Source organism: Homo sapiens, chromosome X, assembly GCF_000001405.40.
Source record: "Homo sapiens chromosome X, GRCh38.p14 Primary Assembly".
In the NCBI taxonomy this organism is placed as follows: domain Eukaryota; kingdom Metazoa; phylum Chordata; class Mammalia; order Primates; family Hominidae; genus Homo; species Homo sapiens.
The window spans coordinates 85,082,762-85,100,892 of record NC_000023.11 but is presented as its reverse complement, the minus strand read 5'-3'; the positions used below and the strand labels follow the sequence as shown (position 1 = coordinate 85,100,892).

Sequence of the window (18,131 nt, the reverse complement as noted above, 5' to 3'; positions counted from 1 at the left end):
TTTCTGAGGTCTCTATTCTGTTCCCTTGGTCTATATGTCTGTCCTTTTGTCACTACCCTACAGTATTAACTGCTGTAGCTTTCTAATAAGTTTCAAAGTCAGGAAGTGTGAGTCCTCCAATATTATTCTTTGTTTTCAAGATTGTTTTGGCTATTTGGGGCCCCTTGGAATTCCATATGAATGTGAGGATCAGCTTTTCTATTTCTGTGAAAAAGGCTGTTGGAATTCTAATAGGGACTGCATTAAATATGTAGATCATTTTGAATAGTATTGGCATCCTACCGATGTTGTATTCCTATGCATACACAGGGTTGTTGTTGTTTTTCTTTTTTAATTTCTTTGGATATTTTCCAGTTTCTTTGAGCAATGTTTTATAGCTTTCAGTATACAAGTTTTTAACCTCCTTGATTAGATTTATTCCTAGGTATTCAATTATTTTAGGGGTTATTGTAAGTGGTACTGCTTTCTTAATTTATTTTTTGGTTTGTTTTTTGCTGCTATATAGAAACACAACTTATTTTTGTTTGTTGATCTTGTACCCTGCAACTTTGCTGAATTTGTTTACAGCTCTAGAAGCTTTCTCTTAGATTCTTTGGAATTTTCTCTATATAGAATTGTGTGATCTGCAAATAGATAGTTTTACCTTTTCCTTTCTACTATGGATTTTTTTTGTTTTTTTGTTTCGTTTTGTTTTGTTTTGAGACAGAGTCTTGCTCTGTTGTGCATTGGCACGATCTTGGCTCACTGCAACCTCCATGTCCCAGGTTAAAGCAATTCTCCTGCCTCTGCCTCCCGAGTAGCTGGGATTACAGGCACATGCCACCACACCTGGCTAATTTTTGTATTTTTAGTAGAGATGGGGTTTCACCATGTTGGCCAGACTGGTCACAAACTCCTGACGTCAGGTGATCCACCTGCCTTGGCCTCCCAAAGTGTTGGGATTACAGGCGTAAGACACTGGGCCTGGCCTATGGATGGTTTTTATTTATTTTTCTTGTCTAATAGCTCTGGCCATAACTTCCAGTACAATGTTGAATACCAGTGGTGAAAGTGGGAATCTTTGTCTTCTTCCTAATCTTAGGGGAATGTTTTCAGTCATTCACCATTGAGTATAATGTCGTTTTCATAAGTACGCTGTATCATGTTGAGGAATGTCCCTCTATTCCTAGTTTTATAAAAGCTTTTATCATGAAAGTGTTGTGCTTTAGTCAAACACCTTTTTCGGCATTCATTGATTTGATTATGTGGGTTTTTCCCCCTTTGTTTCATTAATATGATGTATTAAATTGATATTCTTATGTTGGTGCACCCTTACGTTCCTAGGATAAATCACACTTGATTATGGTGAATAATCCCTTTAATATGCTGTTGAGTTCAATTTCCAATTTTGTGGAGAATTTTTTAACCTATATTATTAAGGAATATTGGCCTGTAACTTTCTTCTAATATCTTTGACTGCCTTTGGAATCAGAGTAATGCTGACCTCACGGAATTAATTACAAAGTGTTCCCGTCTCTTCATTTTTTGGGAAGAGTTAGAGAACGACTGGTATTAATTCTTCTGTAAATGTTTGGTAGAATTCACCAGTGATGAGGCCATTTGGTTCCTTCCTTTTTTTTGTTGGGAGATCTTTGATTACTGATTCAAACTTTTGCAGGTCTGTTGAGATTTTCTGTTTCTTAAGTAGGTTTAGGTAATTTGCATGTTTGAAGGAATGTGTCCATTTCTTCTAGGTTATCTAATTTGTTGTTATATAAATCATAATATTTCTATACCCCCTTTTAATGTTGTAGTGTTGGCAGTAATGTCCTTATTTTCATTTCTGATTTTAATTATTTGCATCCTCTTTGTCAGTCTAGCTGTCAATTTTGTTGATCTTTTCAAATAATCAACCTTCATTGATTTTCTCCATGTTTTTCTATCCTCTATTTTATCTCTATCCAATTTTTATTATTACCTTACTTCTGCAAGCTCTGGGCTTAGTTTGCTCTTCTTTTTCTAGTTCCTTAAGGCATAAAGTTAGATTATTGTTTTAGATAATTTTTTAAATGGCATTTACAGCTATAATTTTCCCTCTGAGCACTACTTTCACTTCATCTTGTAAGCTTTTGTTTGTTGTGTTTTCATTTTCGTTCATATCTCTAAGTGTTTTCCTATTTCCCTTATACTTTCCTCTTTGACCCATTGGTTGTGTACGGTGCGTTGTTTAATTTCCACATATTTGTAAATTTCTCAAGTTTTTTTCCCACTGATTTCTAGTATCATTGTATTGTCATTAGAAAAAATACTGTGTGTGATTTTCATATTTTAAAATTTATTAAGACTTGGTATGTGACCTAATGTATCTATCCTAAAGAAAGTTCCATGTGTACTTGAGGGAAAAAAATGTGTATTCTGTTGTAGTTGGATAGAGGTTTCTGTATATGTCTGTTAGATACAATTGGTCTACAGTGTTCAAGTCATCTACTTTTCTGTCTGGTTGTCCTATATATTACTGAAAGTGGGGTACTGAATCTCCTATTATTGTCTTGCTGTGTAGTTCTCTCAGTTCTGTCAGTGTTTGCTTCATATATTTTGGAGCTGTGATGTTCAATGCATGTATATTTATAAATGCTATGTTCTTGGTGAATTAACCCCTTTATCATTTCATAATGTACTTTGTTTCTTGTAAGTGTTTTTGACTTAAAGTCTATTTTGTCTGATACTAGTATAGCCACCCTAGCTCTCTTTCAGTTACTATTTGCATGAAATACCTTTTTCCATCATTTCATTTTCAACATATTTGTGACTGGATCTACAGTATGTCTCTTGTAGACAGTATATACTTGGATCATGTTTTTGTTTGTTTTCCTTAATCTATTCTGCCTATCTCTGTGTTTTGGCAGGAGTCTTTAATCCATTTACATTTAATTACTGATGAGGAAGGACTCACCTGTACTATTTAACTGTCTTCCATACGCCTTAAAGCTTTTGGTTGTTCCTACTTTCCTCCATTAGTCCTTTTCGTGTGTTTTATTTTTGTAGTGAAACATTTTGATTCCTTCTCATTTCCTTATGTGTGTATTTTATAGATATTTTGTGTTTACCATGGGGATTATATTTGATGGTTATAACAATCTAATTTTGATTTAAACCAACTTAACTTCAATAGCATACAAAATTCTTCTTATATATATATCTCTGTCCCCCTCTTCTGTTATTGATGTCAGGGATTACATCTTTATACATTGTGTGCCCAATAACGTACATTAGGCTGGGCATGGTGGCTCACGCCTGTAACCCCAGCACTTTGGAAGGCTGAGGTGGGTGGATCACTTGAGGCCAGGAGTTCGAGACTAGCCTGGCCAACATGGCAAAACCCCATCTCTACTAAAAATACCTTAAAAAATTAGCTGGGCATGATGGCAGGTGCCTGTAGTCCCAGCTACATGGGAGGCTGAGGCATGAGAACTACCTGAACCCAGGAGGCAGAGGTTGCAGTGAGCTAAGATCATGCCACTGCACTCCAACCTGGGTGAGCAAGACTCTGTCTCAAAAAAATAAAAAGTAATAATTATTTTTATCCATTTGTCTTTTAGACAATGTAGAAAACAAAACGTGGAGTTAGGGTCATCTCTCAGTATATGCAGGAGATTGGTTCCAGGACCCACTGCATATACCCAAATCCATGCCTACTCAAGTCCCACAGCGAGTCTTACTGAACTCACATATATGAAAAGTCAGTCCTCTGTATATGTGGGTTTCTCCTCCAATGAATATCGTTTTTGATCTGTGTTTGAAAAAAATCCACGTGTAAGTGTACTTGCACAGTTCCACCCCATGTTGTTCAAGGGTCGACTGTATAAACATAATTACAATACTACCTCTTATAATTGCTCATGTATCTGTCTTTACCAGAAATCTTTATTCATACAACTTTGAGTTACTGTTTAGATTACTTTCATTTCAACCTGAAAGACTCCTTTTGGCATTTCTTGCTGGGCAGGTCTAATGGTAATGAATTCCTTCAGTTTCTTTCTTTTTTTTTTTTGAGGGGGCTGGGGTGGGGGGTGTTTGGGAATGTCTTAATTTATCCCTCATTTTGAAGGACAGTTTTGGTGGATATAAAATTCTTAGTTGACAGTCCCTGCTCCCCCTGCCCCCCAGACTTTAAATATCAATCCACTGCTTTTTGGCTTCCAAGGTTTCTGATGGGAAAGCAGATGGTAATCTAATTGAGGATCCCTCATATATGACAAATTGCTTCTCTTGCTGTGTAAGATTCTGTGTCTTTGGTTTTGAGACTTTCATTATAATGTGTCTTGGTGTGGATTTCTTTGGGTGTATCCTAGTTAGAGTTTGTTGAGCTTCTTGTATTTGTAGATTCATGTTTTATGTCAAATTTGGTTTTCAGCAGCTATTTTTTCAAATTCTCTCTCTCCCTCTCTCCTGTTAAGTCCCACAAGATATATCCTGTTCCACCTGATGATGATGATGTTCCACAGACACTTTTGGCTTTGTTCACTTTTCCTCATCCCTTTTCTGTTTCTCAGACTCAATAATTTCACCTGGCCTAGTTTCAAGTTCACAGACTCTTTCTTCAACTTATTCAAATGTGCCTTTGAACCCCTCCAGTACAGTGCATTTTTTTTTCATTTCAGTTATTGAACTTTTAAGCTTCAGAATGTTAGGGGGAGGATTTTTTAAAATTTATATCTATATTATTTTGTTTACATATATTTTTCCTGTATTTGTGCATGTCTTATCTCTCTGGGCATCTTTAAGACAGATGTTTTAAGTTGTTTAGTAAGTCAAACATCTGGCTTTCATCAGCTATGTTTTTTGTTAATGTATTTTATTCCTTTGAATGACCATCATTTCTTGTGATTTTTGTTGAAAGCTAGACATTTGAAACTTATACTATGGTAACTCTGGAAATCAGATTCTCCTTTTTCCCCAGGATTTGATGGGAGTTTGTTTTAAAGCATTACAGGGCGTTCTCTGTGTCAGGGATCAGCCTGAGTTGAAAGCTTAATGTGTTCTCAGGTCCCCTCTCCATCTTTTTTTTTTTTTTTTTTTTTTTTTTTTGAGACGGAGTCTCGCTCTGTCGCCCAGGCTGGAGTGCAGTGGCGGGATCTCGGCTCACTGCAAGCTCCGCCTCCCGGGTTCACGCCATTCTCCTGCCTCAGCCTCCCAAGTAGCTGGGACTACAGGCGCGCGCCACTACGCCCGGCTAATTTTTTGTATTTTTAGTAGAGACGGGGTTTCACCGTTTTAGCCGGGATGGTCTCGATCTCCTGACCTCGTGATCCGCCCGCCTCGGCCTCCCAAAGTGCTGGGATTACAGGCGTGAGCCACCGCGCCCGGCCTCCATCTTTATCTAGTCACACATGGTAACTTTCTAAATTCCCCTGTATATATGTTTTTAATTCCCAAATGTCTCACAAAACAGGGCAGCTCCTTTAAATCTCCTGGAAGCCACTTCAGCTCGTGGGGGTTGGAACAATGGCAGTTAACCTCCAAGTCGTCACCTCAGTGATCAGAGTAACAACACACAGTCAAAACACAGAACTTCAGTATTTTGAGGACAAGAGGTTTATTGGTCACCCTTGCTCCAGCAAGCTGCTACAGAAATACAGGTTGCTGTTCCCATGGAGTAGAGGGTGCTGAGTGTTGGGTAGCTGCCACCTCACTGATGGCTGAATTTGATCCAAATTAACTGCAGTTGACCAGCCAGGCTGTCTCCTGTAAGTTGCAAATGTTCAGATAAACTCCAGAGTTCCAAAATATTCACTTCAGTTTCCGCCAATACAATTGCTATCCAGGTGGAGAGAGAAATTCCTAGTGCTTCCTATCCACCATCTCCTTCTCTCTGCTATAAACTTTCTGACATCCTATATATGAATTGATATTTCAGATTTACTCAGAGATGGCTTTGGGGACAATCCCCTTTTCTACTGCCTGATTGCAGAAGTAAACGATCAACAAAAACCATCAGGTAGAGTAAACCTTTCTTCTCCAGTTCAATCTGGAGTATATTTTTTCCATGCTGAAAAATAGTACAGTTTTGTAGCATATAATTACTATTAAGCAGAAGAGAATGTGTATAAACCCAGTTTTTTTAAAGAAAATGCATGGTATGTACTTATGTTTGTATAAACATTATTATTAAGAGACAGGGTCTCGCTCTGTCACCCAGGCTGGAGTGCAGTGGCATGATCATGACTCACTGCAGCCTCCAACTAAACTCCTGTGCTCAAGTGTCTCAGCCTCCCAAGTAGCTGGGACTACAGACATGTGCCACTATGTCCAACTAATTTAAAATTATTTTTTGTAGAGACAGGGTGTCACTATGTTGCCCAGACTGGTCTCAAACTCCTGAGCTCAAGCGACCCTCCCGCCTTGGCCTCCCAAAGCACAGGGATTACAGCCATGAGCCACTGCGCCCAGCTAAAATTTTTTGGAAGATCGTACACCACACTATAAAAGGAGGGCTTATATCTTAAAGGTTGTATTTTAAGGGACTTAAGTCCTCTACACTATATGTTTTTGTATTGTTATTTTTTTCCAGTGAGCATTTATTACTTTAATAGTTAAACAAACGCCAAAAGACATTCAATTTGGGGGTAAAGAACTGGCTAAGATTCAACCAACCTTTCTACACCCTTTCTTCTCCCTTCCTAGGCAAACTGACTGTTGGATTTGCCATGTACTACTTTACATACGACTCATGGACTGGCAAGGTACTTTACCTAGAGGACTTTTATGTCACACAAGCTTACCAAGGTAAAACTAAAATTTATGATATTACTTTTAAATACTTTAAAAATTAAAGTGACATATTTTAAGGAGATAGGGCTTTACTATACATACGGTGTTTTAGTTAATGTAACTTATTGCTACTTAATGAGTTTGATCACTATCCTAATGAGTTTGATCTAATCTGTGATTGTGAAGACTCAGTCACAGATTAGAAAAACATTTTATTAGTTCCTCTCAAGGTTTGAATAAGCCAAGCTATCACATGGCTATATATTTTTTTATTTTGTTTTTGAGACAGGGTTTTCTGTCACCCAGGCTAGAATGCAGTGGTGTGATCACGACTCATTGTAACCTCAACCTCCTACACTCAAGCAATCCTCCCACCTCAGCCTCCCAAGTAGCTGGGGCTACAGGCATGTGCCACAGCACCCAGCTAATTCTTTATTTTTTGGAGAAACAGGGTCTGTGTTGCCCAGGCTGGTCTCAAACTCCTGGGCTCAAGTGATCCTCCTGCCTTGGCCTCCCAAAGTGCTGGGATTACAGGTGTGAGCCATCGTGCCATCACATGTGTGAGCCATCGTGTGAGTATAGGCCACACAGCTATACTTTTATCTTTAAAAAATGCTTTCACATTTTAGGTGGTTTTCAGTAAAAACAGCTAAGAAATATACCGTTATAAGACAATAGTGGCAGAGACTCACTTCTTCACTGATCTTTAAAATAAACCCAAACTCTTCTATGACCTTTGGTACGTCATTCCAATTAGGAAAAAGGGATATGAAAGCATTCACGAGTTGTGTTTCCAGAAGCTATTAATAATATACAAAAAACAGATACAGAGTTTTAGATATTATTTATTTTAAACTAAAGCAAATAACAAGTTAAGTGAAATTTGCAGTTTTCACTTTGCATTGTCTATTTAAAAGGCCTAGGTATTGGAGCTGAAATGCTGAAGAGGCTAAGTCAGGTATGTATTACAATTAGTATTGATATTCTATACATTAACCTTTTCTTAATAAATATTCACAGGGCATAAATTAAATCATTAATCTCACCATTTGAACATAACCCCAACATATACTTCAAATTTCTACCCAAATTAAACTGGATTTTCAAATCAGATGATCATATACAGTATATGAATTATAGTCAATTAAAATTGATTTATATATAATCCACAACCACACTATACACCCTTTTTGCTATCAAGGGAAAGTAAGAAGGAGGGAGATTAGAAAGCATTTTTATTCAAAAACACAGGCTCACAGTATGAATATTACAAGACTATAAAAGCAAGATCTTCTTGTATTTTGGAAACATATGAGAACATGTGTTCTTTTAGGTACACCTTTTCTGTATGATAAAGGCTTTGCAAATCAGTTTTGAGATTTTAAAGAGGGCTTTAAAGCTCAGAACAGTGAGACTTTTTTCTTTTTACAGCTATAGAAAAGTTCAAAAGGTAACTACTATATTTGGAAGTATTATTCACACATAGTGTCTTGCATAGAGTAGACCTTCAATAAAATATATGTGTTAACGAAGATTATACTTTCAAATGAAAGTAATATTTGCTTGTTTGTTTTTAAACAGATAGCCATCACAACTCAATGTAACTGCATGCACTTTCTTGTCGTCATTTGGAACCAGGCTTCTATCAACTACTATACTAGTCGAGGGGCTTTAGACCTTTCCTCTGAGGAGGGCTGGCATCTCTTCAGGTTTAACAGAGAAGAACTCCTGGACATGGCATGGGAAGAATGAAAGAGGCTTTGTAACAACTCATCCCAACACAGCCTCCAACATTTGACTGTCACCTGAGTCTAACAGCAGTTTGACTTTGTTGTACAATACAGCAAGTGATCATCACATTCTTGTTTGAGCAGATCTTTTATTTTGAAACAGATTTTGTAGCTCTAGTCAACTTTCCATTATCCAAACCAATATTCTAACGGCTAGTAGCAGTAGTGATAATCCAAAAGAGCAGATAATTTAAAAGTCACTTATACTTAGCTTTGCGCTATTTTTTACCTATCATATTTCATCAAAATTAAGGTGCTTTTCACAATTTGACATATCTGATGTCGGGATAAATGTAATGATCAACTGGCAGCATTTTTTGTTTGTTTGTTTTTAGAGGCAGGATCTTGCTATGTTGCTCAGGCTGGTCTCAAACTTTTGGCCTCAAGCAATCCTCCCACTTCAGCCTCCCAGACATAAGCAACTCTGCTCAGCATTTTTTTTTAAATTAAAGGTATATGATATGCCTTAGATTTGATGAAATATGGGTGTTTGAATATATTCAGATCTGAGGTTTAAAAAAATTCATTTCAAATACTGGAGATAAATTCTGAAGAGCTTACTTATGAAAAACTAGCAAGTAAACTGCTTCCCTACCTTGAGCAGCTTAAGTACCACTGCCTCCTTGACATCATCCCAGTACTACATTCTATCTCTGAACATCCATAGCTCTTTGGTTGTACTTATCTTAGGGAAGATACCACATACAACACTATATTTCTATGTTTCTCTCTTTCCTAGTAGAGTATAAGTCCTTTGAAATAATTCTAACTTTTGTGTCCTGTGCTGCAACCAGCATAGCAGAACGTGTGAGTTCCTACTACCTACCAGGCACTTCATGGGCATAGAAACTACACAAAAATTATTCAGTGATATCCACAAGGAACCTTGTCTGTGAGAAAATATTAATTACATAAATTGTGTAAAGTACCATATCTGTAAATACCAGCTATCACTTGCTAGTTTTTCATAAGTAAGCTCCTCAGAATTTATCTCCAGGATTTGAAATGAATTTTTTAAAACCTTGGATCAGATCTCAAACACACTCATATTTCATCAAATCTAAGACATATTATATACCTTTATTTTTTATTATTTATTTTTTGAGACTGAGTTTTGTTCTTGTGCCCAGGCTGAAGTGCAATGGCACGATCTCGGCTCACTGCAGCCTCCACCTCCCGGATTCAAGTGATTCTCCTGCCTCAGCCTCCCAAGTAGCTGGAATTACAGGCATGAGCCACCACGCCTAGCTAATTTTGCACTTTTTGCGTGTTTTTAGTAGAGACAGGGTTTCACTATGTTGGTCAGGCTGGTCTCAAACTCCTGACCTCAGGTGATTCACCCACCTTGGCCTCCCAAAGTGCTGGGATTATAGGTGTGAGCCACCATACCCGGCCATACCAAATACCTTCATTTTTTTAAAAAAGGCTGAGCACAGTCACTCATGTCTGGTTGGCTGAGGTGGGAGGATCGCTTGAGGCCATGAGTTTGAGACCAGCCTGGGCAACATAGCAATACCTATCTCTAAAAGACAGAACATCTAAATTCTACCCTGGAGGATTGAGAAAGGGAACATGACACTGGAATTGGACTTGTAGGATGGGTAGAAGTTAGAATGTAGAGCAGGATAAGATGGAAGAACATTCTAAGAGGACACACTAGCACAGGCAGAGAAAGAGGCAATAATGAGCAAAGCATGTTCAAGAAACAAATGGTATGTCATAAAGACAATATAATACACATTAGCAGTAGGGTGGGTAAGGAGAGGGAAGATAGGATTAGAAGGTAAGCTGGAATCAGATATGAAGGGCCTTGTATATCAGACTAAGGAGTTTTGATTCTGCAGGCAATGATGAGCCACTAAAGATTTCAGAAAGACAGCTATTCATTATAGTTGTCAAGACAACTATATCATAATAGACAAATGGGTTAGAAGAATAGGGTAGTAGATACTGTATGTTAGCTTTAATTCAGCACCTGTTCCCAACCCCTTACCCCTTGCCTTCCTCACCACAGGGGAAAAGAAACATGATTTCCCTATTCCCTATCTTCCTTGAGCTAAGTGTGTGGCTATATGACAAGTACTGGTTGAGATATACACAGAGGTCTTCTGAGGAGATTCTAAGAAAGCATTTACTTTTCTGGTAAAAGGGAGTCAGACGCATCTTGTGTACATTTTTATCTGCTATTTCCTACTTTGAATGTGTATCTGCTCCCTGGAGGTACAGCAGACATCTTGTGACCATGAGGTGACAAACCAGCATGCTGTAGAGGACAGAGTGGAAAGAGAAAAAGTCTACGTCCTTGATAGCACCAATGAGCCACTGTCCCAACCCTATACTGCCTAATTCTAGGCTATAAATAGGATAGGCCTTTTTTTTTTTTTTTGCTTAAGCTAATATTAAATATTTGTTTAACTAGTTTACTGTCACCTGCAAGCAGAACATATTCTGAAATGAGAGACAGCAAGATTGACAGTGAGCAAATTAGCCTGAAGGCTATTACAGTAACCCAGAAAAGTGATGATGATGACTTGAGGGAGAGTAATTATAGGATTAGAGAAGACAGAATAGATTTGAAGGAGCGGGAGGTAGAGACAATTTTGTTTTAGGCACATTGACATTGGCATATCTATGGGATGTTAGGTGAATATAACTAGTAAGTAGAAATAAAGGTCTACAGCACTAGAGAGATATGGGGGTTGAAAATATGAATAATAAAACAAATGGTGCCTGAAGCCAGTGAAGTCTGTTAAATGAAAAATGAGTGTGCATATAGAATGAGAAAATAGGACTAGGGATGAAACTTGAGCAGCCTCAGCATTTAAGGGATTCAGAGCAAGAGAAGAAAAATGAAGAATAACAAAAGCAGGAAAAATAGAGAGCAAAGGGATAAGTGAGTCTCAAGGAGAGAGTGGTGAAGAGTCAATAATGACATAAAAATTCAAGTAGGGGCTGGGTGCGGTGGCTCACGCCTGTAATCCCAACACTGTGGTAGGCTGAGTCGGACAGATGCTTGAGCTCAGGAGTTCGAGACCAGCCTGGACAACATGGTGAAACCCTGTCACTACCAAAAATACAAAAAATTAGGCATGGTGGCGGGTGCCTATAGTCCCAGCTACTTGGGAGGGTGAGATGGGAGGATTGCTTGATCCTGGGAGGTGGAGGTTGCAGTGAGCTGTGTTTGTGCCACTGCACTCCAGCCTGGGCAACAGAGCAAGACCCCATCTCAAAAAAAATTAAGCAGGTATGGAGGCCAGAATGTCACAAGACAGAGAGGACTTGAAAGTAGGGAAAAAAGGGACAATATTTACTTTTGTCAAAAAGTAACAATTACTTTTTAAAGAAGTATAACAATTATAGGAAGGAGAGAGAAAAAATAGTTCAAGGGAAGAGGCCAAGTTAAGGAAAGGTTTTTGTCTTGTTTTGTTATTGTTGATTTAAGACAGAGAAGACCTGCAGCTATGTAGAGGTGGAGGAAAGAAACTACAGTATCTACTACCCTATTCTTCTAACCTATTCTTCTAATTTGCTCACTGTAAAAAGAGAAACCGAAGACTAGAAATTAAACAGGGTGGAATATGGTCTTAGATGGGAAGGAATGAGGTCAAGAACACAAAGAGAAGCATGTCTTAGAAAAGGGGGATGCATGGCTGAAAAGAGGTAAGTCTTGAAGGTAGATGGGAAGAAGTTTTGGGAATGGTCATATCTAATAATTTAGTTTTTTCTCTATGAAATAGGAGGCACAGTCAACTTTGACAGTTCTAAGAGGCTTGAGAAGAATAAAACGTTTGTAATACCTCTTCCAGGGAACACAATAGTAAACCACTTAGGAACCAGTAGAAGGATTGCTAAGCAGTATTAGGAAGCCTGTGTAGCATATGGCCCTCTCAAATAGGTAGAGATGTTTTTAGATATTTAAGAGGAATTAACATTAACAAAACCAAGGGACAAAGCCAAGCTCAAGTCCCATAAAACATGGATATTTTATTCCAGCTCTAGGAAATGGGAAAAAAAAAAAAAAAAAAAAAAAAAAAAACAGAGGGAAACACACCTTTCCATACACCATTCTAATTTAACTAGCATTAATCTGGGAAAGCTAGAGCAGAAATATATGTTTATATGTATAAATATGTATGTATTTATACATATATATGTATAAATATGTATGTATTTATACATATATGTATAAATATGTATGTATTTATACATATATGTATAAATATGTATGTATTTATACATATATGTATAAATATGTATATGTATTTATACATATATGTATATGTATTTATACATATATGTATAAATACGTATTTATACATGTATAAATATGTATGTATTTATACATACATATATATATATGTATTTTTAGATTTTAATCTCACTAGAATTCATGTCTTCATTTTTTTTTAAGTGCCCTTAAAGGTCATCAAATGCAAGCTAATACTTCTACCTAAGTCTCCTCATCAATCATTTAATATTGTTTACACTGCATTCACAGTTTGTGTGTTAACCACTTATGTAATTTATCAAATGGCATATTTGGAAATGTAAGGGAGAAACTTGGTTTAGGTAATACTCTATGTATCAGTTACCCATTACATGATTTATTTTCATCATTATTTGCAACGCCACACATCTTGTAGTTTTCTGTGTAGTCTCTGCATGCAGTCTACTTCAGCTTCTAGTGCTGTACATATCTATATCTTCTGGGTGGGACTGCCCGTGATCCATGAGCTTGGGGTCAGGCATAAACTGGGTTGCACCTGATAAAGTATTAAAATGAAAAGAAAAATTAGTCACTTAACAAATTTATTTTTGATACTGGGAAGACAGCAGCGAACAAACCAGATAAAAATCTCTAGTGACACAGACCTAACATTTGAGTTAGGTGAGACAGACAAACTAATTAAATATATATCAGATGGTGGTTAAGTGCTATGTGAAAAAATGAAACAAGGAAGGATATATGGAGTGCTTAGGTGATTTGTAATTTTAAATAGGGCAGCCAGGGAAAGCCTTCTGGAAAGGTGATACATGAGCCGAGAACTGAAGGAGGTGAGGGTGTGCACCCTATAGATACCAGCAGGCAATGCCTTCCAGGATGAGCAGACGGCAAGTGTAATGGACCTGAGGTATGTCTGAGGAACCAATATGGTTGAAACACAGTAGACAAATGTGGTGTATGTAGGGGTGGCGGCAAGGCAGTGAGATGATAGGAGATGTGATCAAAAAGACAATGGAAAGCTAGGTCACACAGGGCCATGGTAAAGATTTTGGCTTTAAGTGAGATGAGAAGCTACTGGACAATTTTGAGTAGAGGAGTGAATGATGCTATGTTTTTAAAAAGATCACTCGGCCGGGCGCGGTGGCTCACGCCTGTAATCCTAGCACTTTGGGAGGCCGAGACGGGCGGATCACGAGGTCAGGAGATCAAGACCATCTTGGCTAACACGGTGAAACCCCGTTTCTACTAAAAATACAAAAAATTAGCCGGGCGTGTTGGCGGGCGCCTGTAGTCCCAGCTACTTGGGAGGCTGAGGCAGGAGAATGGCGTGAACCCGGGAAGCGGAGCTTGCAGTGAGCCGAGATCGCGCCACTGCACTCCAACCTGGGAGACACAGCGAGACTCCGTCTCAAAAAAAAAAAAATCACTCTTGGCTATGGGGAAAAGAAACTATAGGGAAACAAGGGATAGAAGCAGGGAGACCAGTTAGAAAGCAATTACAATACTCCAGAAGACATGCTGAGGGCTTTAGTTAGGATGGTGGAAGTAGAAGTGGTGAAAAGGTACCAGATTCTGGATAATGTTGAAGGTAGAATAGACAAGATTTCCTAAATGGACTGACTATGTCTTGTGAGAGAGACTCTTCAACTTGAGAAACTGGAAGAATGGAGGTGACATTTATTGAGATAGGGGAAAATGTGGGAGAAGCAGGTTTAGGGGAAAACAAACGAATCATTAAGTGTTGGATGTGTTAAATTTGAATTGCTTACTAAACATCTGAGTACAAATGAGTCTTTTGGGTTAAGATTAGAAGATGTTAAGAGGGTTAGGAGAATGTAGGAAAGAAGATTAAGGTGGAAAGCCAGTGAATGAGGTAAGAGAACCAAGAGCAAGAGATATCCCACAGGCCAAGTGAAGAGATTGAAGGAGGAAGGAATTTAACCTGTGTCAAAGGTTACTGATGGATTGCATAAGATGGAGATTGAGAATCAACTCCTGGATTTGGCAATGTGTGGATCACTGGTGATCTTGACAAGCTTCCTGTGTCCCCAGCAAGTAGCTAAGTTATTTTCATGCATTATCTCATAATCCCACCATGAAGCAGATACTATTTTTACATTGTCCTTATTTTACAGATAAGAAAATTTTAATTTGGAGAGGTTAACTAACTTGACCAAAGTCATTCAGCTGGTAAGTGGTGGAGCCAGGAATGAATCCACATTTGTCTGACCACAACATAACAACCCAGGCTCTTCTTTAAAATGATATTTATAGCAGTAAAAATCTCATACAACTAGTTTTAGTACTAAACATGATAATGCACACAAACTGATGCATATAAATACCTTGTGCATGGTAAGTAGGCAAGAGACAACTATTTTATATTTACTTTGTGACATAATACTACAAACATTTTTTCAGAAATTTGTTTTTATTTTAAATATGTTCAAAATCGGATTCATTTTAAAATTAATTTTATTACATTTGGGAACCATACCTTTTCTGCATAAAAGAATTTAATTTCCAGTTTTATAATGAAAACAAAGGAGAGAAATTGGAATACAATGATTTATCTTATACCTATCTTTTCTGAAACGTATTTTACAGTGTGACACACCTATGTGTAACTTCATCACCACATATATTAACAAAACAACCAGATTCATAAGTAATTAGTATTCATGATGGTACAGGTAATGCAGCTCTCCATAGAATAAATTCTTAACTTCGTGTCTCTGGGGGTATGTTATAGAACTCATGTGATCTATTAACTTGGATGAGGAAAATTTGTCATTATTTTCACTTACCTCTGACTTAAATGGACATTGTCTTCAATAATGTATACAGGCAACAAAACACAGTAGTATCAGCAGTACCTTAGATTTCTTTGTCACCAACAGAAATCACAGATATCTTATTACATTATAGTTGCAGATTATCTCAAAATATTCACACTCGCCACTACTTAAAAATTAAAAGTTATTAGACCTATTGTTAGATATTGTTGTTTAATACACTTAAGGAAGTTCATACATTACTATGTATTTTATTTTCTGCATTTGAAAACATTATTCTGAGAAGAGGCTGTAGCACAAAAAATGGTTAGGAATCCACTGGTGGTTCTGCTGTATCTCTACTGCCATCTGGTGGGAACCATTGCTCAGTACAAGTGAAAAGTGTGCAACAAGTTTTATCAAGCAGAAAACACTATATAGTAGGCATGTGACAAATAATTATTTTACGTAAATCTCAGTGTGTCAAATTTGCTTAACAATGTCCATCAACTGACTAAGTTCTCTAGCACTTCTAAATACTTCCTTAATTTATATTCTTGTTCAAAGTTTGGTGAAAGATTCAGCTTACCCCAATTTCCTGAATTAGAAAGAATCTTTTGCCTTTAGATCACCCCTCAAAATTTCTTAAAAGTCTTCAAGATTTTAATTTATTCACAACTTAAAACAGAGATTATTAGCAAGAGTAATATGTATCAGAATCCCCTGTAAAGCTCTTCCTAAAATCCACCTGCTTAGAGGCCTCAGCTCTGGAGATTCAGATTTATAATTCTTGGTAGAGTCTGGACCTATGGATTTTGAGAAAAAAAAAAACCCTCAAGTAATTGTGATATGGATCTCTCTGGTTTAGAACCACTTAGCCTGTCATTTGATTCATCTTTTTGAAAAGCTTCATCTCAAAGGCCAGGCGTGGTAGCTCAAGCATGTAATCCCAGCACTTTGGGAGGCCGAGGTGGGAGGATCACAAGGTTAGGAGATCAAGACCATCCTGGCTAACACAGTGAAAGCCCGTCTCTACCAAAAATACAAAAAATTAGCTGGGTTTGGTGGCAGGTGCCTGTAGTCTCAGTTACTTGGGAGGCTGAGACAGGAGAATCGCTTGAACCCGGGAGGCAGAGGTTACAGTGAGCCAAGATCGCACCACTGCACTCCAGCCTGGGTGACAGAGCGAGACTCCATCTCAAAAAAAAAAAAAAAAAAAGCTTCATCTCATGCTCTTATAAGCAACTAAGAATTATATCTTTCTAAGAAATTTCTTCATCTCTTGAATGGATTAAGGGCTCTCTTACACTCCCAAAGAATAAGCTGTCATAAAACTCTTCTTGAATCTGAATGCCCTAATCATCATGATGCATTCCTTTGCAATTTTATACGTTTGCTCTCTAATAAGAACATTTTCTGCTTAAAGCTTTTTAGCAGACTATTCAAAAAGTTGGTGTTATTACAAATAGGAAAGAAATATGTTTAAAGTTATAAGACAGCAATGAATTATAGTCTCAAATAGCCCTTATGTGATATCTGATAATATCACATAACTGATAATTTAGTTCACATGTTATCTCATTGATATTTTAAGCAAGTTAGTTACAAAAAAAAGGACAGATAACTAATAAATTGCTGAGTGAAGTTAGGATTGTTACAAATTTTCTTTTGGTTTCTTGTATATAAAATCAGGATGACATTCAGCATTCAGCTTCTTAGCAACTCAAATACTTAAAGACACTAGTCACTATAAAGTACTTTCTCAAACTTTTCCATTCCTTTTTTCTCTGTGTGCTTCAGTTTGGCTATTTTTTATTGACTTGTCTTTGAATTCATTAATTCTGTGCTTTCTGGTAAATAGTCTGCTGTTAAACCCATACAATGAGTTCTTAATTTCGGGTACTGTATTTTTCACTTCTAGAATATCCACTAGAATTTTTTAACAGAGTCCAAGTCCCTGTGACATTCTCCATCTTTTCATCCATTTTGTCCATCTTTTTTTCTATTTAATATATTAATTATAGTTATTGTAAAGTCCTTTTCAGTTAACTTCAATATTTAGGTCATCTGTGGGTCTGCTGTTATTGTTATATTTATGTATTTTTTCTTTTGACTGTCAGTCACATCTTCCTGCCTTTTTGCATAACTAGTATTTTGTTTGTTTGTATACTGGACATTATGTATAAAAGAAAGGTAGAAGCTCCAGAAGATAAAGGGCACCAGACAGGGGTGCCCTTGCTCTCTTTACAAAGGGTGAAACACTTATCATCTCAATCTAGTCAGGCATTGAGCTGGGTCTGGGCTGCGTTCTAATTTTAGTAAGAGTCAGTTAACCTCTGGTTCCTCCCAGTTCACCTATGGCACTCCCAAGCTTCTGACTGACAGACTGACTAGTTTCTCTCTCCACAGCACCAAAAAACTGTAGGAAATTCGATTTTGCCCTTAAGAGGTTTTGAGTTTGGCTATTTAGTCTCCGAATCCACAAAAAATCTGGCAACTACCATGAGGGGGACATGAATCATGCATATGTGGCACATGCCCTCTCTCTAGAAGAGGAATTGGCAAACTTTTCTGCAAAAGGTCAGTAGTAAA

General features: G+C 37.5%; 2 protein-coding genes across 6 annotated transcripts in view; one reads left to right on the top strand and one right to left on the bottom strand.

The window, feature by feature from the left end:
• Nucleotides 1-8,609, top strand: part of SATL1 (spermidine/spermine N1-acetyl transferase like 1) — a 151,496-nt gene extending 142,887 nt beyond the window's left edge. Inside the window, exons 5-8 of one of the 4 annotated variants that reach the window (NM_001367857.2) lie at nucleotides 5,897-5,977; nucleotides 6,664-6,765; nucleotides 7,668-7,708; nucleotides 8,332-8,609. In NM_001367857.2, coding sequence (NP_001354786.1) covers nucleotides 5,897-5,977; nucleotides 6,664-6,765; nucleotides 7,668-7,708; nucleotides 8,332-8,502 — 395 coding nt within the window. In that variant the 3' untranslated portion in view covers nucleotides 8,503-8,609. The remainder of the gene's footprint in view (nucleotides 1-5,896; nucleotides 5,978-6,663; nucleotides 6,766-7,667; nucleotides 7,709-8,331) is intronic. The other 3 variants (NM_001367858.2, XM_047442081.1, NM_001012980.2) reach the window with 3 other exon arrangements.
• Nucleotides 7,578-18,131, bottom strand: part of APOOL (apolipoprotein O like) — an 89,439-nt gene continuing 78,885 nt past the window's right edge. For both annotated transcript variants that reach the window (XM_017029272.2, NM_198450.6), the window contains exon 9: nucleotides 7,578-13,303. In XM_017029272.2, the coding sequence (XP_016884761.1) occupies nucleotides 13,215-13,303 (89 nt within the window). In that variant the 3' untranslated portion in view covers nucleotides 7,578-13,214. The remainder of the gene's footprint in view (nucleotides 13,304-18,131) is intronic.